Source organism: Homo sapiens, chromosome 5 (genome assembly GCF_000001405.40).
Source record: "Homo sapiens chromosome 5, GRCh38.p14 Primary Assembly".
Classification (NCBI taxonomy): domain Eukaryota; kingdom Metazoa; phylum Chordata; class Mammalia; order Primates; family Hominidae; genus Homo; species Homo sapiens.
The window spans coordinates 168,189,943-168,217,795 of NC_000005.10; the positions used below are offsets into that span (position 1 = coordinate 168,189,943).

General features: G+C 43.7%; 1 protein-coding gene across 33 annotated transcripts in view; it reads left to right on the plus strand.

Moving 5' to 3' along the window:
• The window catches only part of TENM2 (teneurin transmembrane protein 2), a 1,285,129-nt gene that overhangs the window by 1,210,914 nt on the left and 46,362 nt on the right, over positions 1–27,853 (plus strand). For 19 of the 33 annotated variants that reach the window (XM_047417418.1, XM_017009661.2, XM_047417420.1 and 16 more), the window contains 8 exons: positions 395–605; positions 5,234–5,353; positions 8,911–9,172; positions 9,922–10,189; positions 13,747–13,890; positions 14,430–14,679; positions 25,098–25,330; positions 26,826–26,980. In XM_047417418.1, coding sequence (XP_047273374.1) covers positions 395–605; positions 5,234–5,353; positions 8,911–9,172; positions 9,922–10,189; positions 13,747–13,890; positions 14,430–14,679; positions 25,098–25,330; positions 26,826–26,980 — 1,643 coding nt within the window. Of the gene's footprint in view, positions 1–394; positions 606–5,233; positions 5,354–8,910; positions 9,173–9,921; positions 10,190–13,746; positions 13,891–14,429; positions 14,680–21,791; positions 21,813–25,097; positions 25,331–26,825; positions 26,981–27,853 lie in introns of all 33 variants that reach the window. The other 14 variants (NM_001395460.1, XM_005265950.3, XM_011534604.3 and 11 more) reach the window with 1 other exon arrangement.

Consider the following 27,853-nt stretch of genomic DNA (forward strand, 5'->3'; position numbering starts at 1 on the left):
TTAGCACGGACCCCTGGGAACTGACCGTGGGTAATTTGCTGTGCTGTGTTGTTTAAAAGCGAAGTTTTTGTTTTTATTTTCCCACTCAAATAATACGTGTTCATAGTAGAAAAAAGTAGAAATTCCAGAAAAGCACAATAAAGAAGAGAAACACACTAATCTGCTACATGAGGATAACCATTTGTCAACATTTTAAATTATTTCCTTTCAGTCTTTTATTTTCTATGTGTATGGATTGGAATTGGATGAGGCTTGCTGTGTGAAACCTGCCACCTCAGGCCCTTGGGTACGTTTGATGCTGCTCATGCCTGTGCTGGTAACAAAGGTGTTAGTGTCTCCAAACAGCTTTATGCCATGAAATCTGCTGACTCTGGCTCTGCCTCTGCCCTTCCAGATGGCCTGGTGGATTGTTTGGACCCTGACTGCTGCCTGCAGTCAGCCTGTCAGAACAGCCTGCTCTGCCGGGGGTCCCGGGACCCACTGGACATCATTCAGCAGGGCCAGACGGATTGGCCCGCAGTGAAGTCCTTCTATGACCGTATCAAGCTCTTGGCAGGCAAGGATAGCACCCACATCATTCCTGGAGAGAACCCTTTCAACAGCAGGTAGGCACCCTCTGTCCCTGCAAACTCCTGAAGTCTCTGATTTTCTTCCTGTTGGAGCCAGAGGCAGTTCTCCAGCTTTCCCGGGGACCCAATTGGCCTGGAATCTGCCCCCCTAGAGGCAGCTCCCTCCAAGGGGGACTCAGAGAAGTGCCCTTTCCTCACTTTGTGTTGGGCTCCAGAACAGAGCCCTAGTGTCTTTGCAGGATGTCAACATCTTTAACCCAGAACCTGCTGGAGACACCTGTTGATTCCCTGGTTTTTAGATCATTTTTAAAATCTGTTATTTTATGATGTTATTGTCATTATATTAAATCTCCCTTTAAAATGCCTCTGATAGTGGCTTTTGTTCGAGCATTGCTGAAATAGTTCATTCAATAGAGTGTTTTTGAAAGCTGTTATTAACTTGATAACATAACCTATCATTTGGTGGCATCTTAGAGTCAAGAAGATGTTGGTTGCAAGGATTTATTGAGCACCTAGGATGAGCCAGAGACTTTGTGTAGATTATCTCTAATCCACACAACAATCCCATCTATTGCCTCTCCTGATTACCTATTGCATGCAAGCCATTGTGCCACTGCATTTCACCCCTCATTCTCTCCAGTTTATTATTGCTCTTAGTTGCTAATTTGAGGCTTAGAATATTCTAGGGTCAAGTTCTAGATTCATTTTGTCTTCAACTTCACCCCAGGACAAGTTAGAACTGTGCTCCTGGAGAAGAGAGCAAGGGGAAGGTTTGTCTTGGAGACACTTCCCCACCACCCCATCCCCTCCTCTTTTCTATGCACTACGTATGATTCTGAGGGTAGAGAGGAGGGGTAGGAGAGGCTGGGGGTCTTCTTATGGCTTGGCCATGCTTGATCTTCCTCTCAGTTGGTCCAAGTCCAGATGTCGATGGTGTATGCTGATGCAAGAAGGAGGAGCGTGGTCTAATTGGGGATGCCCCGCCCCATCTCTGTGGTCCTTCACATCAAGAAATAAAAACTGCTGGTCAGGTCCTTTTTCACAAAACTTCTAGATACTAGGAACTTGGGTAGGATGGTCCTGGCCCCTTTGCAGCCCTGACGACCCCCATTGTGCCATCTTTGTCTTATTTCTCTTTAGCCTCATTCAGGTAGGCCCAGGAGCAACTCTGGATGTATGCTACTTCTCTCGGCTTCCAAGCAGGGAAGAAATACTAGACTTCCCTTCTTACAGAAGCACCTAACTTTATAAGTGATTCTCTCGGAGCCCCTCTCATGAGCCTTTCATCGGTCCCCAACCGAGACAGCCCAGCGAGGGTGGGATGGGGAAGGAATGGGTGTCAGCACAGCTGATTCTACAGCCTCTTAGAGCTCTCTGGAAAGTTGGAGAGCCCCAATTCCTGCAGCTCTTTTGAATATGAGTGTCTTAACAAGGTCACCTTAGGCCAACAACTTTTGCTTCTCTCTGTTGTCGTTTTTACTAAAAATAAAATAGAAAAAGAAATAATAGAAAGGTAAAAATAATCTCAGCCCTCTTCTATTTCAGCCCTGATACCTCCTAGCGATATCATGTTGGGCTCGTAAACCTCATTTTCTTGATTAATAAAATTAGGATAACACTATTTAAATACGTAAAAGTTGATCAGACAAATTGGGTCATTCTTGTCATACCCAACTAAAGCAGAGGCAAGAAGCCAGGAAGAAAAAGCACTCTGGGCACATAACATTGCCCTAGAAATGTAATTCTCCCCAGGCCTGGCTACTGAAACTGTCTGTTGTAACCGGAAACCAGTTGATCTAATAGCGACTGAAACAACCTACTATGACTCTAAGACTAGTTTTACCCACCACCATCATTCACCAGTCAGAACTCACCAGATCGCCAAAACTTTACCAGTCCCAGTGAACTTTCTCTCAAAAGAATAAGTAACATTTCTCCTTATAAAACCTCCAAACTTCTCTTTGATCTTCAGACATCCTGAAGACTACCCCCATGCATATGCCCTGAATTGCCATTCTTGCTTCCCAAATAAAACATTTTAAATTTAGAGATTAATCTTTCTATTTTATTTGACTTTAACATATACTATACACAGTATTATTACTGTTTCTTTTAGTAGAAGAACCTCTCAAGAAAATAAAAGAAACCACAGATCTCTGATAAATAAAAAGCATTTACTCTGCTTGTTAAATCCTAGCTCTAGAACAGATTCTGTAAGTATGCTTCCTTTTAATTATGAACATAATTCATCTTGCTAGAGACCCGTGACTGGGCAGAGCTTGCACTGGGCCATAAGCATTTCAGTGGGGTTTGTAGTTTGCTTATACTGAAAATGCATCCTCTGAAGGCCTGTTTCAATCTGCTTCCTCATTAACCTATCATTATTTCTACCCTAAATCCAGTCATTTCCTGATATTCTCCCTTTCATGCTTTCTCCACCTGGCCCTTCTGGTTTTATCTTATTCTCCTCATCAATGGTTACCACTTCCAGAAGGCACCTTGAGCTAGAGCCAAAATACAGGTGAACAGTCAGGAACCCCAGAATATTTGGTAGACTATGCCAGCCCAGGAGACCTGAAAGAAAGTTGCTTTAGAGAAAGCGTCTCGGAAGCTTTAAATGTAAACAATAAATGGCACTTCCCAAATGAGCCCAGGCTCTCCGGCTGTCTGCATGGATACATAATTCAGAAATATGAAATGTAACTCCAAGACATAGGTTGAAGTTCAGTAAGCGTGTGAATTCCAGTACATTATCATCTTACAAATAACGAAGGACAAAGCTAGGAGTAAAAAAGAACTCGAAAATTCAAGATTTCTAAAAGGGCGTTCCCCTAGATAATGGCATACAAAAATAACTAAAATGCCTTGACTCCACCACTATAATTTATAGAGCAGATCTCACTATCTAGATAATGCGATAATTGTTACACATCAATAATCATAAATAGAAATGAACTGATAGTATGTCTTAGCTGAATCTTTTCTGCAAATTGACTGCCTGGAAACGATAGGAAGCCAGCAGCAAGGAAGAATTTGAAAAATAGAGGATAGAAATCACAGGCAGCACTACTCCTGTTATTCCTATGGCACACTGCAAAGCCTTCTGCTACAGGAATGATTTAAAAGAAATAGCAGTTGTAGAAAAAGGAAGGGTGGGGGGACTCCATTGTGGAATGTACTTTCAATTTTGTTTTCTCATCACGAGCACTGTGTACCTTGTGGTCGTCAACACACATCACTGATTTTAAAGTAGTGTCTGGTAAGGTCTTAAAGAAATCTTAGTCCGAGCTAAGATAAGAAAATGGAATTGAACAAAAGGATTATTTTCATAAATTAGTTTTCCACTTTAAAAGAGTCTAGCATTGTGGTTAAAACCAGCTAAAAATGGCATTCATTTGTTAGGCAGCCAGTAGCAGACAATTAGAGCTGTCAGTGGAACAGTCTAAACACTCCTGAGATCATCAAAGGGTTGGAGTTGAACAGCTGGGGGTATTGCTAATAAAAAGAGAGATGCGTGGAGACAGCATCCCTCCGGTTTTCAGGACACCCAGGAATGCAAAAGTAAGTGCATCCAAAAATCGAGCCGACTTTGACAAGATTGTGACAAAGGACGGGTCAGTTGATCACCTAGTTCAGAAACTGGGAGTGTGTCCAGGATGCTGGGAGCCTGAGAACCTCTCTTCTTTTGCCAAATTGCCCAGTCTGCTGGGGGCTTGGTGCAGAAATGGAGCTTCTCATTGTCCCATTTCTCTGTGAAGTCAAGAGAATTCAGATGAGAGGAGGCATGCACATTCTCCCTCCATGGACTTTGAGCACAATATTGTAGCATCTCTCTGGCTTTATAGGACTTTCCCAGGGGTAGCTGGTTGGAAACCGGGATTTGTGGGAAAGTTCTAGTTACTGTGTCTGGAAAGAGGGAGATGTTCTGTAACACTGGAAATAAATTGGTAGGATTTCAAAACCCTTCAAGATAGCAGGAATTCGACATAAGAGAAATATGTAGTAACACAGAATCCAGAATCCAATATATTTCTAGCAGAAAAAAAGTGTATATAGATATATACACATTTTTATTGAATGTGTATATTGAAGGGTTTTGCTATATATATCTCCAAAGTTCTCGTTTCCTCAGACCCTCATGGATTATGAGAAATTTTGCTCTTAGAGGGCAGCAAAAGACAATGCATGTGTATTTCCCAGCCATAAAACTCTCTGTGCTCCCCTCTACCCACTCTGACATTCTGGCCTCTAGAAGAGTAACATGGCCATCCTCCAAAGCCAAAAAATGGAAATAAGTAGCCAGATGTGGAAGCTCTCACCCGAGTATGGCACTCTCGGTGCCAGGCTAAAGAGCACCTGGGAATGATGAGGGACAGCCTGAAGCTCAGGCCAAACAAAAGCCAAACAATGTCAAGAAATGGAGCAAGGCCAAGAGTGGAAGGCGGGTGCCCAGGAGACCCCTGGGCCCAGCTCAGTGACGGGAGATGCTGCCCATGGATTTCACCCCAAAATGTCACTAGCGTGATTGTGCAAAGCCAGAAGTTAATGTTGAAAGCCTTCTCCTTGCCTGAGGGACCAGATGAGGATGAGGGAGCAGAGGCAGTGGGGAATTGTCTCTGTTCTCCTGCATGTGGCTCAAAGACCTCTGTTTCTGTCTTTCTCAGCTTGGTTTCTCTCATCCGAGGCCAAGTAGTAACTACAGATGGAACTCCCCTGGTCGGTGTGAACGTGTCTTTTGTCAAGTACCCAAAATACGGCTACACCATCACCCGCCAGGATGGCACGTGAGTAGCTTTGTGGGGCTCGGACCTACTCAGGACCACACGTGTGTGCAAAGGGACAGACGGTGCTGTTGGCTTGGAACCACAGGATTCCCCCTGGTGGACTGGAATGTCCACCAGGCCTGTCCCCTAGTGAGGATTCCCCCAAAGACATTTCATGCTTTTTGATGTGACATCAAAAACAGAAAATAAATAGGAAAGCCAGCTTACCTAGTACAGCTCACAGCCACCTCGTTTTTTTAATGTCAGGTCAATGCACGTGTGTGTGTGTGTGTGTGTGTGTGTGTGTGTGTGTGTGTGTGTGTGTGTGTGTGTGTGTTGGGGTGGGGGCAGGTTCTAGAAAAAGAAGGGAAGGTAGCTCTTAGAAACGAACTCCTGTTTTAAATCAAAGGCAGTGCAGGGTGACAGGAATCCACATGACATAGTGTCCTGTGGTGATCCCCTTCTGCTTTCATCTGTGGCTTTAGGAGTTGTGTTGTTTTCGCTACTGTTTGGAGGGGGTGGCGTGTAATCAGAGAAGTCTAATTAAATACATTTAGCAGTCACCCTGCTGTGTGAAGGAGGCAACCTTTCCCTATTATCTTCTGATTGGAAACGTGTACCCGTTCAGCCTCCATCAAGATGAAAGCTCTGTCATTTCCTTAATCCATTTGGGCATAGAGTAGAAATTTAAAGAAGAAGAAAAGAAATCTATGGGAGGGAGAAAACACTAACTTACTCTGGGCTAAAAAACACACAGACACACACACAATTATGGCATTCTGTTTTAAATGAAAAGGGAACTGTGGCTACCAATCTGATCCAACACTCTTTCTGTAAAATGCACTCTGGAAAATCTTGGATGTATCACAGAAGTAAGAACAGGGATTTTTTACCTTTCTCTGGCGAAGAGTCTGGCCTTATTTTCTTTCTTGCCCTAAGGTAGCCTTATAGGCAGTTTCAACAATTACCAGCCCCCAGGAGCCCTAACTTCACTCTCCCACCTCTGAAACCCAAACAAGGAGTCTAAGGATTCATATCAAATCTTCAATATTCATGAAATTTCTGATATCTCACTCATACATTTCTGTAGCCAAATCTAATTATTTTAAAGCACAGGATGGCAGATGTGTGCCTTGCAAAATTACTCTGGCCCTTGTTCGTTCTTAGAAGCCGGTGGGGTTTTTTTGTTTGTTTGTTTGTTTTTGAGACGGAGTCTCACTCTTCTTGCCCAGGCTGGAGTGCAATGGCGCAATCTCGGCTCACTGCAACCTCCGCCTCCTGAGTTCAAGTGATTCTCCTGCCTCAGCCTCCCGAGTAGCTGGGATTACAGGCACCCGCCACCACGCCCAGCTAATTTTTGTATTTTTAGTAGAGACGGGGTTTCACCATGTTGGCCAGGCTGGTCTCGAACTCCTAACCTCAAGTGATCCATCCACCTTGGCCTCCCAAAGTTCTGGGATTACAGGCGTGAGCCACCGCCCCCAGGCCAGTGTTCTTGAAGAACTGACATCCTTGAGTCAATTGCTGTGAAGTCCCATGAAACAACAGAAGGAGACATTTCTGAGTCCCTGATGTGCTATTTTCCCTTTCTTCTGCATCCCTCTCCACTGCTTCCTGAGTAATTATGCCCCAAGTCCACTTCCCAGATCATCTATCCAACCTCCTGGATCAGTTACTCTTCAGCTTGTTCAGGTTGTAAAGCTGTGGAAGTCACAGGACGTGCTTGAGAATGCTCTGAGGAATCCCACAATCTGTTGCATAGTGGCGTGTGCCCCAAATATTCATGTTGATTCTACCGTGCCAACTAGGAACAATTTTACTTCAAGACATTTGACTCTCTTCTGTACTCTATGCAGAACTATCCCCAGCAGTGTGCATGCCCGATAAATAAGCACATAAATAAAGTAATTAATAAGTAAACTATTGTACTGTACATGCTCTGATATTTGTCTTAATATTCCTATGCTCCCTGTTCATTCACATTTACTAAAAAAGACCAAATGTGTTACTAAGATTGGATGAAACCAGCGAGTCAAGTATATTTTTACCGAGTTTTTACTGTGATCCAAGTACTCTTAGCTGCTGGGGATTCTGAAGGGAGCAAGACAGACAGCACCACTGCCCTCAAAGAGATGAAATTCTAAGGCCAGGTGCAGTGGCTCACATCTGTAATCCCAGCACCTTGGGAGGCAGAGGCAGGCGGATCACGAAGTCAGGAGATGGAGACCATCCTGGTTAACAGGGTGAAACCCCATCTCTACTAAAAATACAAAAAGTTAGCCAGGCATCGTGGCAGGCGCCTGTAATTCCAGCTACTTGGGAGGCTAAGGCAGGAGAATCACTTGAACCCAGGAGGTGGAGGTTGCAATAAGCCCAAATCATGCCACTGCGCTCCAGCCTGGGCCCCAGAGCGAGACTCCATCCCAAAAAAAAAAAAAAAAAAAGATGAAATTCTAGAGGGGAGGTAAAATAAAGCTTAACATTAGGACACCTCTCTGTTAACGTCCTTGTTTTCTGTTAATTGGGAAAGAGCTACCTTTATTCTACTTTACAGGTAATACACCTCCATCCAGCTCTTAAGAAACGAACAGAAATATAGCTTAAGAACCATTGGCAAAGAAATCAGCCACAGAGCAGAGGCTGATTAGAAGAATGCTGTAATGAGCTCCTCTCTGTGTCCTAACGTAGTATCGTTATAATTACACTATTTATTGAACATTCTATTAGCCTAGGACTGTGCTAAGTGCTTTACACGAGTGGCCAGCAAACATTTTCTATAAAGGGCCAGAGAGTAAACAGTTTAGGCTTTGCTGGCCATGTGGCTTCTCACCAACAACTCAGCTCTGCCATTATAGCAGGGAAGCAGCCTAAAAGATACATAAACAAATGGGTGTAACTGTATGCCAATGAACCCTTTTTTTTTTTTTTTTTTTTTTTTTGAGACAGAGTCTCACTCTATCACCCAGGCTGGAGTACAGTGGCGCAATCTCGGCCCACTGCAACCTCCACCTCCCAGGTTCAAGCAATTCTCCTGCCTTGGCCTCCTGAGTAGCTGAGACTACAGGCACCCACCACCATGCCTGGCTAATTTTTATATTTTTAGCAGAGACAGGGTTTCACCATATTGGCCAGGCTGGTCTTGAACTACTGACCTCAAGTGATGCACTCACCTCAGCCTCACAAAGTGCTGGGATTACAGGCGTAAGCCACCATGCCCTGCCCAATAAAATTTATTTACCAAAACAGGTGGTGGGCCGGATTTAGCTCATAGGTCATAGTTTGTTGAGCTCTGCTCTACACTCATGATGTTTCACTCTTAGTCATGCCATGTGTATTGGTGTAATTATTCCCATTTTACAGATGAAGAAACTTGGGCTGAGAGAGGGTTAGTAACTTGCCCATTGCCACTCAGCTAGTAAGTGATAGAGTTTGGGTTCCAGCCCCACCTGTCTGCCTCCAAAGCCCATGGTCTCCTCTGTGCTCTGCCCATCGCATGGCCATCAGGGGAGGAGGAGAGGCATCCTGCCTTGTCTAAAAGTGAGTCTACCCCCTCATCAGCTCATTTACTCCCTCTCCAGGTTCGACCTGATCGCAAATGGAGGTGCTTCCTTGACTCTACACTTTGAGCGAGCCCCGTTCATGAGCCAGGAGCGCACTGTGTGGCTGCCGTGGAACAGCTTTTACGCCATGGACACCCTGGTGATGAAGACCGAGGAGAACTCCATCCCCAGCTGTGACCTCAGTGGCTTTGTCCGGCCTGATCCAATCATCATCTCCTCCCCACTGTCCACCTTCTTTAGTGCTGCCCCTGGGCAGAATCCCATCGTGCCTGAGACCCAGGTAGGAATGGCAGTGCCAGGGCGGGACTCTCAGGACTTCCCTAACGAAAACCAACTGGACACTGCCTCTCCCCGAGTGGACCAGAAACTAATATTGTAGGGGAGTAAAAAAAGTGGGAGCATAATAAAATTTATAGCCACCAGAGATGAAAGTTTGAATCCCTCTTGGCTGTTCTGGATGTCTGCAGATAGTCGTTCAAGACTTTGGCAGTCATCAGAGCTTTTAATAAAATAAAAACAACATACATATGTGCAACCCACCTGCAAATTGCTTTTTGTTCCTGTTAGTCACAGAGATACATGGTAAGAGGCGCTTTAATGATCTACATCGGTGTTACGACAGAGGGCATATTACATTATTGCCTCCCTGTTGCTTTATACGGATTGTCAGTGGAAGTTGTAGGTTCGTATAATTACAGCCTCTCGTGGCCTCCTTGCATGCAGCTAGCAATAAAGCCTGCTGTTCTTATTTACATCTTTTGCCAACAGTGTGGCTTTTTAAAAAGAAACACAACAGTGACCAAGAATAATTATTAATCCAAAAATCATAACCTCAGCCCCATCACTCTATGGTGGAAGATAAAGTTTTTGTTGTTGTTGTTTTTCTTTCTCAGTGGTGGTAAGTGGTTCTTGCACCCACATAAGATGTGATGCCTCAGTGAGGGACATAGCAGACAGACAGTATCGGGGTTACAGTTTACCTGCACAGGTGTGTTTTAGGTGTGTGTCTGCCATGTGTTTCCTCTCCAGGTTCTTCATGAAGAAATCGAGCTCCCTGGTTCCAATGTGAAACTTCGCTATCTGAGCTCTAGAACTGCAGGGTACAAGTCACTGCTGAAGATCACCATGACCCAGTCCACAGTGCCCCTGAACCTCATTAGGGTTCACCTGATGGTGGCTGTCGAGGGGCATCTCTTCCAGAAGTCATTCCAGGCTTCTCCCAACCTGGCCTACACCTTCATCTGGGACAAGACAGATGCGTATGGCCAAAGGGTGTATGGACTCTCAGATGCTGTTGGTATGTTTTGGTTTCAACCACTTATTGATCAATGGATTTAGTCATGTGTTAATTCGACCCATATTTATTGAGTTCCGAGGATATGCCAAGCACCATTTCAGTAGATAAGGACACGATGGCCAAGAAGACAGACAAGATTCCTCTTCCACGGGGTTTACATTTTGGTGAGGTATTGAGATAATAAATACAAGTGAAACAAAGAAATATCAAGCAAGATAGGTGCTAATAAGAAAATAAAAGTAAATGATATATATTGGGGAGGAGGGACAACTGTGGTGAGCATTTAGGGAAGGCTCCTCTGCAGGGCAGCATTTAAGCAGAGACTAATGACAAGAAGGAACCACATGAAAATCAGAAGAAGAGGATTTCAGGCAGAGAGAAGAGCAGGGTGTGTTTGACAGACAGAGAGAAGGCCAGTGTAGCTGGAGTGTAGTGGAAAAGAAAATATTCAAGATGTTGGGAGAGAGGTGGTCAGGGGCTAGTTCATTTTCCAGACGGAGCACTTGTAAATGGCACAGAATGACCCTGAATAATCAGAAAACAGGGTTTGAGGAGATCAGAAAGTCACATGCTATGTTCCAGGGCTTTGCCTTTTGAAGGAATCACGATTCCCTCCTTATGAAAGATCTTCGTAACAGAAGTGTCCTACCGTTATCAGAGTTGTGAGCTGTAGATTAATCTTAACCTACCTTGTATCTTCCTACTTGTGGAAAGCTATCTAGGAATTAATTAAAATCCAGAATCCTGTGTTCTCTTCACCAATAGTCGTGTGTATTTTAAAAACTGTAAAGATAAGTTACCAAAGTAGGAAACTAGCAACCTCAGAAATTTTCACTATAATTGGTAGCCAATGTGTATCAGACGTTCCTTTTGTGTAGAGAGAATTGTGTTAAATCTTTTGTTGGGTAACCTCTCAATAACCCCTCAAGTAGGCACCCTCATAACCCCATTGTGCATATGGGGCAGGAGGGAGAGGGTAAGAAAGTTGCCCAAGATCATGCCACTAACAGGTCACACCTGCTCAGAATACAGCCCTGGGGGTCTGCTCCATCAGTGAGTGGTGTTAACTTAACCAAGGTAGTAAGAAGTTCCCAGAGTAACTAGTGTATTTAATATACAACACTGGCTAATCAAATATATGTATATTTGTGTGTGTGTGTATATATATATACACACATACATATATACAGATATATATATGTATATATGCACATATATATACATATACATATATCTGTAGCTAATACCAAAATGACAGCCAATATTAAAAAGTAGACTAAATATTGTAATTCACTTCCATACACTCCAGCTCCTGCCATTATCAACTCATGATGAGGCCTGTTTTTCCATACCCCCGTCTACTCCCCTTTCTCCTGTATTTTTCTGAAGCAAGCCCTAGACGTCACATCATTTCACCTGTAATATTTAAGAATGTATCTCTAAAAACATAAAAACAATATCATCACAACAAAAAAACACAATAATTCCCTAATGTCATCACATAGCCCATCATTGTTCAGTATTTCAATTGCCTGACAAATACCATAAACTATCAATACTTTGTCTCAGGATCCCATTAAGATCCACCTTTTGCAATTGGTTGATTTCTTTTAAACTGTTTTTAAAGTTCTTTCATCTTTCCTTATCTTTCTCTCTCTCTCTAACCTTTATAATTTATTTGTTGAAGAAATTGGGTTGTACAATTTCCCATATAGCGTGGTTGGTTGGTTGGTTGATTAATTGGTTGGTTCTCGAATTGCATAATTACGGCTATTTGGCCTGTTCCTCTGTTCCCTATATCTCCTGACCATTGATAGTTGGGTTTTGAAGCTTTCTCAGGTTCAGGTTTGATTTTTTGATTTTTTGTTTTGGCAGAACAACTTGATAGGTGTGGCTGTGTCCTTCCATCAAGAGGCACCTAAAGTCAAGTTGTGTATTTTTTAGAGATTTCAGTAGCCATTGATGCTCATTGCCTAGTCTGTCTGGCCATTAGGGATTGCAAAATGATAGTTTAATTCTGTACTTCCTTCCTCATCTATTAGCTGAAATACTTCTATATAGAGATGCTTTCTCCTTAACTACTTGGTTATTTAAAGTACAGTTCAAATAGGAAAGAATAGATAAATGCTTGATTATTTCCCTTTATTTACTAGTTTTCAATATAATGAGTTGATTCATTGTCCAGGGGTGGCAAATTAATGTTTCTTAAATACCATTATGAACTCATGGACTGAAATGCATCCAGTATGTTTCAATCCATTGAAGTTATTATTCTCACTAATGGCCAAATGGCCCCATCTTTGGTCAGTGGGCACCTTTTCAAGCTCATTCCCAAATCCTTTTGACATGACCCTAATAGATTTTGATTCCTTCCTTGCTATCTAGTATGATAAAGTAGGCTGGTGTCATTGTGTTCATTTCTTGCTCCAGCCATTTCTTCCAGAAGCCCTGATTCCTTTTAATGAGAAATAATATATCAAGGCCACAAGCCAGGCACTAGCAATTCTCTTTGCTGCTGGGGCTGGTCATTTGGCCTTTGTTTCTTGGCATTTTCAGAGGACAAGCTAGGAAATACATAGAGTTTTTTAAAGATAAAAATGCATCCTCCATTCATATTGACACTTCTATATCTCAGGAATTTTTTAAAGCTGCAGAGAATCCCCAAAGGTGACACACATAGTTAAGAGTTTAATGCAGTAGGAACAGCAATAATAGCAATGCCTCATATTTCTAGAGCAGCATTCCAATTAAAAATGTATGGCATCTCAGCACTTCATCTCATCTCTCCTTACCACATCTGTCTGAGAAATTGAGGCTTCACTTAACCCATTTTACACGTGGGGAAAATGGAGCCCCAAGGAAGCGTGAGCTTGGAGCCAAGCTAGGACTAATGTCCTTCATTTCCACCTCTCTCTCCCATTTGTCCATGTGGCAAATGCAGGATTTTTAAAAACAGCTTTTGGATTCTGTTCCCCATTGAATCCCCATGTAACTGGCAGGCTGTACTCCTGCTGGTGCCTGCCTCTCCTGGCACTTTCTGGAATCCTGAGTGAACACACCAAGTGTCTTAATTTACACAAGCTATTGCTCCCAGAATCTCCATGTCAATGAGCCAGTACGATCCCAAAGGGCTTTCTCCTAGTAAGTGGAAATAAATAACACAAAATATAATAAATGCATGCTGTGAACAGCAGGCTGAGAGAAGCAGTCTCCTGTCCATCTCTAAAGGGGAATTGTGTCAGGTTTTCAAATGATTCCTTTCCTCCCTCCATGTCACCAGGGTCATTTTTGAAAGCCAGTCGTTCATTGGAAAGGTCTTTCCATTCCCACAGAGTACTACTGTGTAAAGTTTCAAGGTTGAGTTCAGCTCAAAAATCTGAATTTAATATTGTAGCATCACAAGGAGAAAAGCAATCAGCCTGCCTCTTTGAGTGAGTTTTTGGAACAGAATCTGTATTACTGCGAACACGTGCTTCTCATTCTTGCTACAGAGCTCTGGAGTAATCAAGTAAACTCTCTCTTTTCTCTCACTCTGCCCCACCCCTTTTATCTTTCAGTGTCTGTCGGGTTTGAATATGAGACCTGTCCCAGTCTAATTCTCTGGGAGAAAAGGACAGCCCTCCTTCAGGGATTCGAGCTGGACCCCTCCAACCTCGGTGGCTGGTCCCTAGACAAACACCACATCCTCAATGTTAAAAGTGGTACGTGAACACATCTTCTTTCCCAAATACAGCCTTGCCACTTCTCTGGAACCTTGTCTCTAGCCTCAGCATTTAAGTGATCACACCTCCCCTTCCCTGGGTCATTTTTTCATCAAGTGCCCAAAATATGCATGGATTTTCCTACCTTCTTCTTTTATTATTTTTTTATTTAAATATTTAAAATATTTATTATTTTTTTAATAGAGACAGGGTCTTGCTCTGTCATCCAGAGTGTATGTGCCATCATAGCTCACTGCAACCTCGACTTCCCGGGCTCAAATGATCCTCCTGCCCCAGCCTACCAGGAAGCTGGGATTACAAGCTTCTTTGGTTATCCTCCCAAGTGTCATTTTACCCAATGCCACAGCATTTGGGGTCCACCTCTCCCACTGCAGCTCTCTCCACATTGTGAAGAAGTTGGAGAGCTCCCCGAGCACTGAAGATTCCTAATTTGTCTCTTCCCCTCCCTCCCAGTTGGCCAATACACATGTCTTCCCCAGAGGGCTTCAGTAACCCCTCCCATTCTCCAACCCCCACAGGAATCCTACACAAAGGCACTGGGGAAAACCAGTTCCTGACCCAGCAGCCTGCCATCATCACCAGCATCATGGGCAATGGTCGCCGCCGGAGCATTTCCTGTCCCAGCTGCAACGGCCTTGCTGAAGGCAACAAGCTGCTGGCCCCAGTGGCTCTGGCTGTTGGAATCGATGGGAGCCTCTATGTGGGTGACTTCAATTACATCCGACGCATCTTTCCCTCTCGAAATGTGACCAGCATCTTGGAGTTACGGTAAATGGCCTCACAGGCAACCTTCTTTTGCTCTCTTGCCCCCCATAACTCCTGAGTTTGATCGGGTAACTGGGGCTGCATTTGGGATTCTCCAGAGAAGATATAGTCCTTGTGATCCAAAACCTAGGCCCAGAATCAAATAAGGAGGTGGGAAAAATGCTTTGTGTATCTGTGAAAAACCATACACAGATTTGATACAATAGTCAACAACTGACTTACAGACAAGGCTTTTAGTCTCCAGACTGGAGAACAACCAAAGCATCTTTTATTTTTAAGAAGCTCTGTAGACACACATCAAAGTTTGAGAACCACTAATGTTCATTTGCTAATTCAAAATGTTGTATTGAGCACCTCTATCTGGCTAGCTCTCTATAAAGTCTCTGGATCTTTGCACATTCACTAGGATAGCACTTCCTTTACTGCATAGGCTTTGCTGTGTAATTTCTGGCCAGCCTAGGTAGATTCCTCCTGCCCATTGCTGGCTACTAAGTCTGAAAGCCAGACCCCTCTGTGCTGGGAAAAAACTGACCCCTAAAAGCTCTTAGACATGCTCTTGCCAGGAAAGTTGATTTCAGACCCTCAACTCAGAGGAGATCTGTAATCAAAGAGAGAAATAAGATCTATAAGAAAGGGGCAAAATTTCATTCAACAAATATTTGGTGAATGTATACCATGTCCCAGGAGCTTTCTGGCTAGAAAAAAAAAAAAAGTGGGGTCAAACAAAGCACCTGTTGTTGTGTTTGTGTTTGTGTTCTGGTAAGGAGCCACAGACAAAATCATGTGGGCAAATAAAAAATAATAATTTCCTGTATCCTTAATTGCTTTAGGGGAAATATAACAGAGTAAGAAACAGGAACTGGGCGACAGGGAGGGTACATGGATGAGGAGGCTACGTAAGGTGAATTAGTTGGAGAAACCTCTTGTACTAGGTCACGTTTGGCTAGGATCTGAGTGATAGACGTCAGCCATGGGGAGATCTGGGGAAAAGCACTCAGGCAAAGAGAAGTTGTTCAAAAGCCCTATACCAGCCAATAACCTGGCTGATTTAAGGACTGATAGAAGCCCAATGTGGCAGGAGGGTGGTGAGCTCAGGGAAGGGTACCTCAATGCATCAGAGTCTCACTAACCACTTAGACAAGAGTACATTGTATTGCAATGAACAAGCAATGGAGGTTGAAGTAGGGAGTGGGGTGGAATTGATATGATCTGATTTGCATTTTTTTAAAGATGACTCTGGCTATTGTGTATGGAGTAGATTGTAGGACTGCAGGAGTGGAGGCAGGAAAACCCATAGGGAAGCTGCAGCGATTGTCCAGGATTGGGGCAATGGTGATTTGAACCAGAATGGTAGCAGAAGAAAGAGGAGTGCTCCAATTAGAATATATTTTCGAGGTAAATCTGATAGGATTTGCTGATGGATCAGGTATAAGGAACGAACAAAGACAGAAACGAATCAAGGGCCCTGCCTAGGATTTTGGCCTGACAACTGAGTGGATGATGGCATCTTCTGAAGCAGCCTCAGCCTCTCTCCTAGAAGGAACTGCAGGTTGCACTTGCATTTGAGAGTCTCTGAGGCCCTGTCTGGGAGAAATATCAGTGGCCTGCCCCCAGCAACTGCTGCTGAGCATTCTTGGGAGCCAAGAGTGTGCCAGGGACTGAGAGGAGTAAAAAGAGGAAAAAACAAGAGCTTCACCCTGAGGAGGCTGCAGCCTCAGTGATCCAGTGGGCATTTATTGAGCATGGAGGCGAGCCAGGCATGTACTGGGCTCTGCGGTACAGAAGGGGATGAAACACAGGCTCAGAAAACACCCATGTGAGCATGAGAGGTGGCACCTGGGGAAGTCAGTGCAGTTCAAGCTGAGCTGAAGGGCCAAAGGCCAACCATTATGGAGATCCAGAGACAGGCCTGGGGTGGAGGAGGGGGCATGGTAACCAGAGGGTGAACAATGAGAGCAAGAAGGACACACGTGGGAAGAGGCCAGGTAGCCCTCACGCTGCCAAACTGGCGATCAGACAAATCGCTTTTCCTAGACTTGCCCATCCATATAGATTCCCTTCCCAAGATGTTGTTTTTGTTTGCTTTTTTTAATCCTAGGAAAGCCTCCTTTTCTCAGGCACCCTGTGGGCAACAGAGAACCATGGGAGAAGACAGGGTAGGGTGGAGGTAGCACTGTGCTTTGCCATTGCCTATAGGAAAAAAGGGTGGAAATATTTCATCTGGCCCTTGTAATCTTCCACATCAGGCCCTTCCTCCTTTGTCACTGTTCTTCCTGCTCAGAGGCTAATCAGCCCTCACCTGGTACAGTCTCACCTCCAAACCTTCACTCTTGCTGCTTGCTCTGCTTAAAATACCTTCTCTACCTAATCTACCACATCACATCCACCTGCAAGGCCCAGTGTCAGGGCCCCCTCTTCCACGTAGCCTGATCTCCCCAGCAGAAACCATTGTCACCCACCTCTGAGTCACTACACCCTCTGATCCTCCATTAGAGTTGATGCCACTGAATGCCTTGTTGTCATTATCTCCATGTAAGTCTTTAGGGCCTAAGCATGTGAACTTCTGCAGCAGACCCCTTGGTCATCTTTGTCCTTTTAAGTACTAGAGGAGGTCCTGGCCCACACTAGGTGCTCAAGATAGGTTGCTTAAATTAAAGAAAACACAGACCCGTCTCCTCCCTCTTGTTGGAGTTGGTCCCTGGTTCCACGTCTCTCGAGTTGTGGAGGCCACAACGTCAATGGTGCAAGCTAAGGGCCCAATCAGAACAAGTCACGCCATGCCCACGTGGTGACATTAGGACAGCTTGAGGCGGAATGTGGCTCCCAGTTTCCCTCGACAGCCGTGTGATTCTTTTTTCTAACTGCCTTTAGACTTGTTCTTACTTTCATCAGCCAGGTACCCAGAGCCGATTAGAAGTTAAGCTTTTATAAGAACACTGGTTTTATTCTTCTTTTCTTCCCACTACATACCTGAAAACAAAGGGCTGTCAATCCCCTCTCTTCAAAACAGCAACCAGCAGAGGGAGGGAGGGGGAGGAAGAGACCTGTCTTGCTTATGTCTTTTCTCCATTGTAAGTTGGCAGCTGAATGATTCCATTTCGGGAGTCAGTGCCCATCCCTATCTCGCTTACCCACCCCGGAGCTGAGCCTCTGAATTGGGATCCTATTGAAATGTTTCCATGGTTCTCTCACTATCCTTCCCCCTTCCTCCTTCCTTTGTCTCTCCAAAACATGCAGGGACAAGTTCTATACACTTAAATAACTTCTGATGCTACAAAGAGCCTTCTCTTAGGTAAAATGGTTATCACCTGCGTGCTCTGATTAGGCAGACATTTAGGACATTTCCATACTCCTGTCCCATAGAAGCCTGATATCCCATCTTTACTAGTCCAGTTCCCACTGCCCATTCCAAGTGGTCTTTGGAAAACCTAAAGCCCTGGAGCAGAGTAAATTTGTCAGTCACTAACATTATAGGGGGAATTTCTCTCATAGCAAAATCTTTTCTCCCTCCCCAGTTTTAGAACATCTTAGGAATTAGACCTCAATATGAGGCAGTAAATTATACGGGATGGGACGGTATCTCTCTCCCTTTTCTTAGCTTAGCTCCTTTTAATAAACATAAGAATCTCACACCTTACATAATTTTTGAAATTTCCATTTTTTTATTTTTTAAACATAAAATAATATTATGATATTAAACATGCTTTTTTCCAACTAAACCGCTTCTCCATGCTGACATTCTGATGGTGCTTTCAGCATGGAGTCAAGGGCACCAATCATTAGAGGAGACCTTCAGAGAAGGGACATGTCCAACCCAGATATGTTAGTACCGGGCGGGGGGAAAGTGGGAGCCTGGGAAGGCGGGCAAAGCCAGCAGACATTGGAAGGAAGCGTCAGCAAGGACAAGCTCTGCCTGAGAGTTTCAGCCAGGACAGACCCTGCTTGATGACCAGGTAGACTGTTAGGGAAGACTATGTGGTTCCACTTAAAGAACGGAAATGCTTTTCCTATGTGGTCAGGCTTTGAAAATGGGGGTCAGGAAAGAAAAGTCATGAAGCACTCAATCCCGAATAAAAGTAAAAACAATGTCCCCATAAAATTTTGGAGACTGATTGGCACTATTTTCAAAGTCTTTTTACCAAGGGTAGAACCCAGATTTTATGAAGCCTAAGACTAATACAATTTCAGAGGCTCTATCTAAGAAGAAAAAACTAAAATTATAAATATGAAATGAGAAATGAAATGGAATATTTAGGATGAGAAAGGAAACCCAAAAAATTGCAAAGTTTAGAAAAGCCAATTCTATCACAAACATCACAAAATCCACACAAATAACCTAATATTTTTATTAATTAACTCCTGTAACACTTCCATGATACATGTTTTTCTATACTTTTTGGCTGCATATCTTTGATCATCTTTTAATATCACAGTTATTTTGTAATTTCATTATCTATAGAAAGAACAGAGGGATTTTCAGTCTTTAGTAGGGCTGATCAAAATTAGTTTCATATTATTGATAAATTAGAAAAGTTTCTTTTGTGTTCATAATTGATTATTGGTGATGTGTAAATCATTAGAGTTATAAAATTGGGGAAAATCTTTATCAAGTTTCCTTTTTAATATCTCTGGGCATTTCAGATTTTCCTGTGGAGTGAATAATCTAAATAGTCTTTGAAATGATGCTCATTAACCAGTTTGTCATTGATGTCCTTGTATTAGTGAAATATGAATTCTACATGGGGACTTTTACTCTCTGCAGTGATGCTAGACAAATCAACATTGTAGGGCAGGAGCATTCCTCAAAGACATTCCTATTCAAGAATGGCTAGCAACCATTTAACTGGGTGCTAAAGGGACTGCAAGCCACATGAGCTCATCCTCCTGAAACTAAACCAAATGCACCCCAAGTCAACTTCTCTTTAGTTAGAACAACAACAACAAAACAACCCTGTGGCTACTCCAAGTGCACCTTCCTCAAGGGGAAAATGTGGCACAGAGAGAGTTGGAATGAAAAAAGACAACAGTCTCCACTGATTACAGATTTGTAATTCTGAGCAGAACATGAGGGATTGGAGTTAGTCCAAGGCAAAGTCTGCCCAGCACTAAGGGAAGCAGCCTCATTCCTTGCTTCCTTCACTCAAGAAACTGTTTTTCCAGCCCTAACTCTCTCCTGGGCCTTCTACTAAGTATCTGCAATTCAGAGATGACTGAGTCATGTCCTATTCACAAAGAACTGAGGGGGACAGGCACACAAACATAAATCACCAGACAGCATGATGGCAGCTCTGAGAGACGGGCTGAGAATGCCACAAGAGACCCTGAAGGCTTCCCAGAGACATCATTGAGACCCTGCAGTGTGAAGAAGAGCTAATCCATCTCAATTCTCCCATCTGAAACACCACTTTTTCCTCAAAGGGCTCACCTAAAGAGTCTGTGGTATTAAAACCATGCACACAAAGCCTAGGCCTATCCCTTGTAAGTAGGACATCTGTACCCAGCTGCATAGACTGACTCGGTGATGCTGTTATTCTGGTTTGTTGCCTGCTAAGCACCCAGCCTGCTGTGATCCTGGACTGGAATAGCAGTGACCTCAGCCTTTCTCCAAAGCTCATATTCGTATGATCATTCAGGCTCTACACTCTCCAACAACTTGATCCTTCACCCCGCCCTTCTCCTTCCCCCAACATAGATCTTATATTAATCAACTGAAAGCAGATGTTCTTAGGAAAGAAGTAGGTCAGGCCTGCAGACCCAAATCCCATCCAGTATTTTTACAAAATCTTGACTTTAAAAAGTGAAATTGATATTGCAATAATTAAGAGCCAAATATGACTACCACTGGTGGCAGATAACATTTCACTTTCATTAAGCAATATAAAATAGACGCGAGAATTCCCGGCTGCCACCCTGACACACCAGGCTTTGCAGAATGAATCTTAAATTGCACTATGTCAGTCAGAGCTCAGAAGTTATCAGCATCATTTAATTAACTTTTTTTTTTTTTTTGCAAAAACTAACACATTGGAATAAAATATAAAAACGTAATCCCTGTGCAAACCCACCACTAATGATGGCCCCCGGCAGAGGACTGAGCTACACCTGAGCAGAAATCAGGGCATTAAACTCTCTTTGTCCCTTCCCTGAAGCCTTTCTCCTCAACTGAAAGGGAAAGAGGGGTCAGGGGTTTCTTCCACTTTGGCCTAGAAGCCTCGAGAATGGGAGTGGTTCTCCTTAATTGAGACCTTGGCATCTTCTCGTCTCTGGCACGTCAATTTTCAGCCACAATTTCCTATTGAAATTGAATGTATTTCTTCCCTTAAAACAACAACAAAATTTTTACTAGTTCTCTGATAAGAAATGATAACTGGAGTCTTTGACTCCAATTCCAAGAGGATATTATTACCTATAAATTTCATTTATGGACGTTATTGCAATATTGGACGTTACCTTTTAGAAAGAATGCATATTTGGGGTCCCACCCCAAGTTAAAAGGAGACAATGAAGGTGACATGGAGCAGGGAAAGGAAGTGGTTCAGAGTCTCAGGGTTCAACAGCCTTTGCCCAACTGCAGTAGGCTGTGAGCAGGGTCTCTCTCTTGGGTGGTACTCATTCTACCCTGAAATGCACCAATGGCAAATAGGTGGTACATGTGTCACCATCCTCCCTCCCACACTCAGAGGGGACATTGCAAGTGAGTCACAGTACTCTTTATACCTGATATTAAATTTGGTTTCAAAATCCTTCTACCACCACACTCCCAGTGGCCATTACTGGCCAACACATGTTGGCACCCAAGATATAACCTGTTTGCCATCCCTTCCTTAGTCAGGAGGCATATTTCACCTGTTGCCACCTCTGTCTTGTGACAGCCACATTGCTGATGAGAGAATTCAAGCTTTCTTGTCCAGATTGTCCAATGTCTGGGAGGAGTCCAAAATCAGGGGCACTTCTCAAGCTATTGAGCCAGGAGTTGTCAGTTACAGGGGAAAAAAGAAAAAGACTGCCTTTTTTGGGCCCCTTTATACAAGAAACAAAAATGTTATGTTTGCTTTATCATCAATTCTTCTGCTAACTGTTTGTTCTTTTTTCCTTTCTGTTTTCTTTCTATAAAGAAATAAAGAGTTTAAACATAGGTAAGATGAAGAACTCTTTCCCATATAATTTGATATGGTTCGTTTGCTTCCTTGTGTTTGCTTTTTTTGTTTTGTGCTTCTTGTGTAATGTTGTATATTTTTATGTACCAAATATAGTAACTTTTTTATGTGCTAATTGTGTGTTGTGGATATGATAAGCTTTAGCAATTATGAAATGCAGTCAAAAAGCAACCAAATAAGCTGACAGTAATTAGAATTTCCGGGAGATTCAAGTGCAAGATAATGAACCCTCAGCGAACTTCTATCCCGACTGCTCAGTGCGGTCCATAATTGGGCTAAACAGTTGAGGCAAACTCCTGGCTTTTGTAAATGCTGGACTGGGTTCACAAAAGCTTTAATGAACTGGAAACGGGTTAAAAACTCATTTTCAACTCATTAATGATTTTTTCCCCTGGATATATGGTCATCTTTAAAAAAAAAAAAAAGTTAATTGCCAATCTGCTGATCAGAATGAATCCAACAGTCAGATGCATTGAGAATTTTCATGGAGTAAAATCACTTTTGAATAGTTTGAAGGATGGAGACCAAGTATTCTTTGTCAAAACCGCCTTGGTCATTACATTGATCCAAGGTTATCATTTAAAACCACACTAGTACAATTCACAGATAAAGTGTAAAACACACATACACGTGCATTCACACATGAACCACACTGAAATGAAGATAGTGTGAGCTTTCTTAAGGAAAAATGACCTTATTTTTATTCAGAAGAAGAGAAAAAACAAAGCAATCTGTACCACTACTCAACGGAATGCTTCTGCTCACTTTTTGAAATGAAACATGGACAGCTCTCCTTCATGATATTAGGTCAAAATTAGACAAAAAGTAGAGTCAAATTGCACAAGATCATAACAGTCAGTGGAAAGGCCATGCATTGACAAAGTCCTCTGTCTTCTTCTCAGGCACCCCAAAATTGGCCTGTTATAGGCACCCCATTTGAGCCAAATTTTAAAAATGAGTAGAAATGCCCTGGAAGGACATTTTTCCAGGAAATTCACCAACCTCATGTGATCTTTGCCACAGCCACAGGTATGGAGGCATGGCTGTCCCTCTGACGTGAGTTTCTCTGCAAGCATCTTGGTGAAAACAGGTATGAGACCATGGAGAAGAATGGTCTCCCTAAGCAAGAACTGACCTCACACCCACCACTGCCTGCTCTTCTGCCAGAGCTTTTGAAAAGCCTCCTCAAATCAGGCTCCCTAGAAAGTCCAAAATTAATTATCTCTCTCATAGGTAGGCACAGATGTGCAATGCCTTGATCCTTCTGTTGATAATGCCAGCTACTGTTCATTCAGTAACAGAGTGCAGCATCTAATTAAAAAATGGCATGAATTTTTCCCTTTCTGCCCTAATTTGTTTTGCATATATGGATAGTCTCTAATGACTTAATAGCCAAAAAAGAAGAAGAAAAGAGGAAAGGAAAGGAATGAAACCAGGTAGTCTACGCTTTAGTTATCTGGGCTGGAATTTCAGAAAAACTTTGACTTCTAGTTCAGGGATGTGTCTTAATAGCAACCTGAAGAGAAACGGGAATGAAAGACCATCTCAACTCCACCCAGATTGTTCCTAAAAATAGCTTCCTAGTTCTTTTCTTTTTTTTCCTTAAATCAGAGAAGACCCCAAATGGTGGTGTTTTAATTAGTAATTTACTAGCTAATGTCAACAGGACAAATGCATCCAATGCTGTCATCTCTCTCACCTTCCCTCCACCTCTCCCAGCCCCTGTCTTCCCATCACCCCAAAGTAAAATTGAAAAATAATAGGAAAAGGCTGGTTGCATGGTTTATACCTATAATCCCAGCACTTAGGGAAGCCAAGGCAGGAGGATCTCTTGAGGCCAGGAGTTTGAGATCAGCCTGGGCAACATAGTGAGACCCCATCTCTACCAAAAAAAAAAAAAGGTTTTTAATTAGCCAGGCATGGTGGCATGCACCTGTAGTTTCAACTACTCAGGAGGCTGAGGCGGGAGGACCACTTCAGCCCAGGGATTTCAGGCTGCAGTGAGCTAGAATTGTGCCACTGCTCTCCAATGAGACCCTGTCTCTGAGAAAAATAAAATAAAATAGCAGGGGAAAATAAAGGGGGCCTGTGCTCATTTCAAAACCTAGTCTACCACACTGAGGCAGAAAGGCAATTACTGTTTGCATCCTAGAGGTGCTGATTGTAATAACCAGTATAGGAATAACATGAGCACCTATTCTGGTCCCAACCTCAAACCAGTGACAGGCACTACAAAGGGAAGAACTGCAGGGTTTTGAGCCAGAAGGAACATTAGCAATATCCAGTATGATTGATTTAATCCCTCCAGCCCCTGCAAAAAAGCTAAGACCTGACACAGTCAAATGACTTAACCAAGGTCACCACCAGCTGGGTCAGAATTGAGTTTAGAGTTTCCTGTGTTTTAGTCCTGAGCCACTTCTACAAGTCTTACTCTGTCCTAGTTAGCCTCACACAGGGCAGCCAGACACATGGCAGGGGAAGCAGCCCAGGTCTCAGAGGCTCACGCCTTCCTAATACACTTCACACACACACAAAGGTATTAATCCCCTAGTGTGGCTGGGAGCCCTGGCAGACCGTGGCTCACGCCTGTGACCTCACTGTTACCTAGATTTGAAAAGTGCATCTCCTGTCTCAGTAATTCAGATTCCAGACACAGTACCAGCAAGATACCCACATTTCTTTACACTAAATGCCAACTTTATCCATGTCCACACTGAAGAGCAGTAAAGAAGCAAGCTCTGAGCCTGGAGATTGGGGGCGGTTATGGGGTGCTTCCCATGATAAAATTAGGAAAACTCCAGGTCACCCTGGTATTAATGGCCTAGTACCCTGGAAGCATAGGTTAAAATGAGAACATTGTCACATGGAAGTGTTCCTCTATCCCACTTGAGAATACACTAAGCCCTCAAGGGGAAATTAAGGAGACTGCACACACATGGACTGTAGATGGTCTTGAATAACTATCCTGCTTACAAAAACAGGATCGGAGTGGGAGCTCTCGTACTGGCTAAATGAAGCAACAGTTGTTTAGCATGGTGGGAAATGAATTTTCTAATAGCATAAGAAGCATAAGTCCAATTAGAAGTAGCTAAGAACCATGATGTGTTAGAACACTGAGTTTGATGTTAGATTCTTTCCAGTTCACTAAAGTGGAAAGACACTAGAGAAGGTAAGCGTCTTGCTAGGATTTTTGTCATTCCTTTGATCTAGGAGGCCAGCTCCATAGCCCCCTCCTCATTTCTCTTTGTGCTTCTTCTACTAAAGCAACAACCCAGCACACAAGTACTACTTGGCAGTGGACCCCGTGTCCGGCTCGCTCTACGTGTCCGACACCAACAGCAGGAGAATCTACCGCGTCAAGTCTCTGAGTGGAACCAAAGACCTGGCTGGGAATTCGGAAGTTGTGGCAGGGACGGGAGAGCAGTGTCTACCCTTTGATGAAGCCCGCTGCGGGGATGGAGGGAAGGCCATAGATGCAACCCTGATGAGCCCGAGAGGTAAAGGACATCAAGGAAGAGTCTCCCGCCCCAGATAAAGCTTTGCCACCAGCTTGGCTTTCTTCTCATCAGAACTTAACTAAGTCCAGCAGTCCAAAACACAGCTTTCCCTGTAATCATTTAACTCAGATAGATTGCTTTGGTGTGTGGATGGGTGTTTAAAAAGAAAACCAGTCATGAGGTCAGGAGATGGAGACTATCCTGGCTAACATGGTGAAACCCCATCTCTACTAAAAATTACAAAAAATTAGCCGGGCGTGGCGGTGGGCGCCTGTAGTCCCAGCTACTCAGGAGGCTGAGGCAGGAGAATGGCGTGAACCCGGGAGGCGGAGCTTGCAGTGAGCCGAGATCGCGCCACTGCACTCCAGCCTGGGCAACAGAGCGAGACTCCGTCTCAAAAAAGAAAAAGAAAACCTTATTTATTTATTTGAAGAAAACTTTATCATGCACATAGGCTCCAAGTGGAAAGTGAAGGGGATTGCGCCTGGAGATTTCTGACTGCTGCCAGTCAGGAGAATCAGAGGAAATCCTGGCTCCATGGGCCACAGTGCCAGCTGTGTGGGCTGGAGACAGAACAAAGCCCAGCGAGGGGCCTCTGGCCACGCCCAGACTTCCGTGGTAGACAGCAAATGTGTATGAAGTCGAAAGTGCAGTGCCTCACATGTTGTAAATGCCCAATAAATGGTAGTAATTAAGAATGGGTATAATTTCCAGGGGTCCAGGATGGAGGAGTTCTGGGAACCCATGGGTCTCTATTTGAAAAGGACTAAAAATACTTAACATTAAGGAGCAGTCATCTGAGAGTCCAATTCCTGTTAGCATTTTTAGCTACTGTGAAAGCAGCAGGGCAGCATGGATTAAGGAGGCAAAGCCTTGTACTTGGGCACTGGGGCAAAGACACAAAATAAATAGAAGCCATATCTGTGCCTTTCCAGCCCTGCTGCAACAGGGGAATGCTAGGCCCCAGTGTCCCCCTGGGGCATTGAAGTGCTGATTGGAGTCAAGCTTAACTGGGAATACTTCCTGAAGCATACACCTTGAATTAGGAGTTTGTAACTACAAGAATCATCATTTCTCAGCATTACTGCTGCAATCGGTTGTGAAGTATATTCAAGTAACTTACTACTAATAATGTTTAGGGTAATGAACTTAGGAAATAACTTCTTTTCTAAGGAGAGCAGATGCAAAGTTATTTCCTGCTTCATTCATTTGCGGCCTTGGTTCATTTGCAGTCCAAGGAGCATGCTTTCGTCAGTTGCAGGGAAGAAGGTGGTGATATAGCCAGCACCCTAGGAACTATACAAATCCCAGCACAGTGCCCATGGGAAAGGATCTTGCGTTAGAAGGCTGAGAACCACTGCTCTGAGGGTACTAATCAATTCCAGTAAGGTCTCTGGTCTAAGCAGAGTGCTCAGCAAGGCATCTCATCTCCCACCTCCACCCCGCAATCCTACACCTTTCCAAGAGATAAATCCACACCGCTTGTCTTGCTCAGGTATTGCAGTAGACAAGAATGGGCTCATGTACTTTGTCGATGCCACCATGATCCGGAAGGTTGACCAGAATGGAATCATCTCCACCCTGCTGGGCTCCAATGACCTCACTGCCGTCCGGCCGCTGAGCTGTGATTCCAGCATGGATGTAGCCCAGGTGAGACTCTTTCTTATTTCTCTTCACTAAGCAACACCTGCCCCTTGGCCTGAGGTTCTTACCTGTTTCCTGTTTGGTTTGGAAGTGGAATGGGAGGGAGAGATACAGATACAGATCACGGGGTTGTTTGGAGAAAGCCTGAGATGAGCTAAACAGTAAGATGGAGTGGAAAATGTCAGATAGGTATGAGAGAGAGAGAGAGAGCAAGAGAGAGGGAAAACTGTTGAGAAAAGTGGAACTGGTGACACACTCCAGCCGTGGCAGATTACAGGGTAGAAGCTGCTCTGTAATTACCTCCCTTCTCCATCATTATTGCAGGTTTGAGAATGTACTGTACAGTGTTATATGTCAATCAGAACTTCCCCTTTAATCTGAAATGACTGCATCCTCACTATATAAACCTTTACTTTGTGCAGTAGTAACTAGAGCAGAGCCCTCTACAATATCACCCAAAGTGTGTGTTTAGTTTGGGCTGTTAGAGAGGCAGAGAACAGAGGCTCACTCAAATATACAGCATTTGTTCTCAGACAGCCTGGAATATACGTTCAGCCTTTCTATAACGGCCTTTTCAACCCTTGGCGAGCCTCATAAATTTCAGCTCAAGTTCCACAACAGACAACTTGCTACTGAGATTTTTATTTCAAATTCCATAGAGGAAGGATGCGTTCGGTTCCGTTTATTTTTTAAAGCAGACACTCAAGTTGTAGTTTGCTGGAGAGCCTGCACTTTGGCTCCCCTTGGATCAGAGCCATCTTCCAAGTCACATGGCTCCTTTTTGTGAATTAGATACAGGTGCCGCCTCTAAATGTACATAGCTTCCGTAGGCGTCTGCTTGGAGAGCAGAGTATGGGCTGGATGGCATGGTCTCTTGTG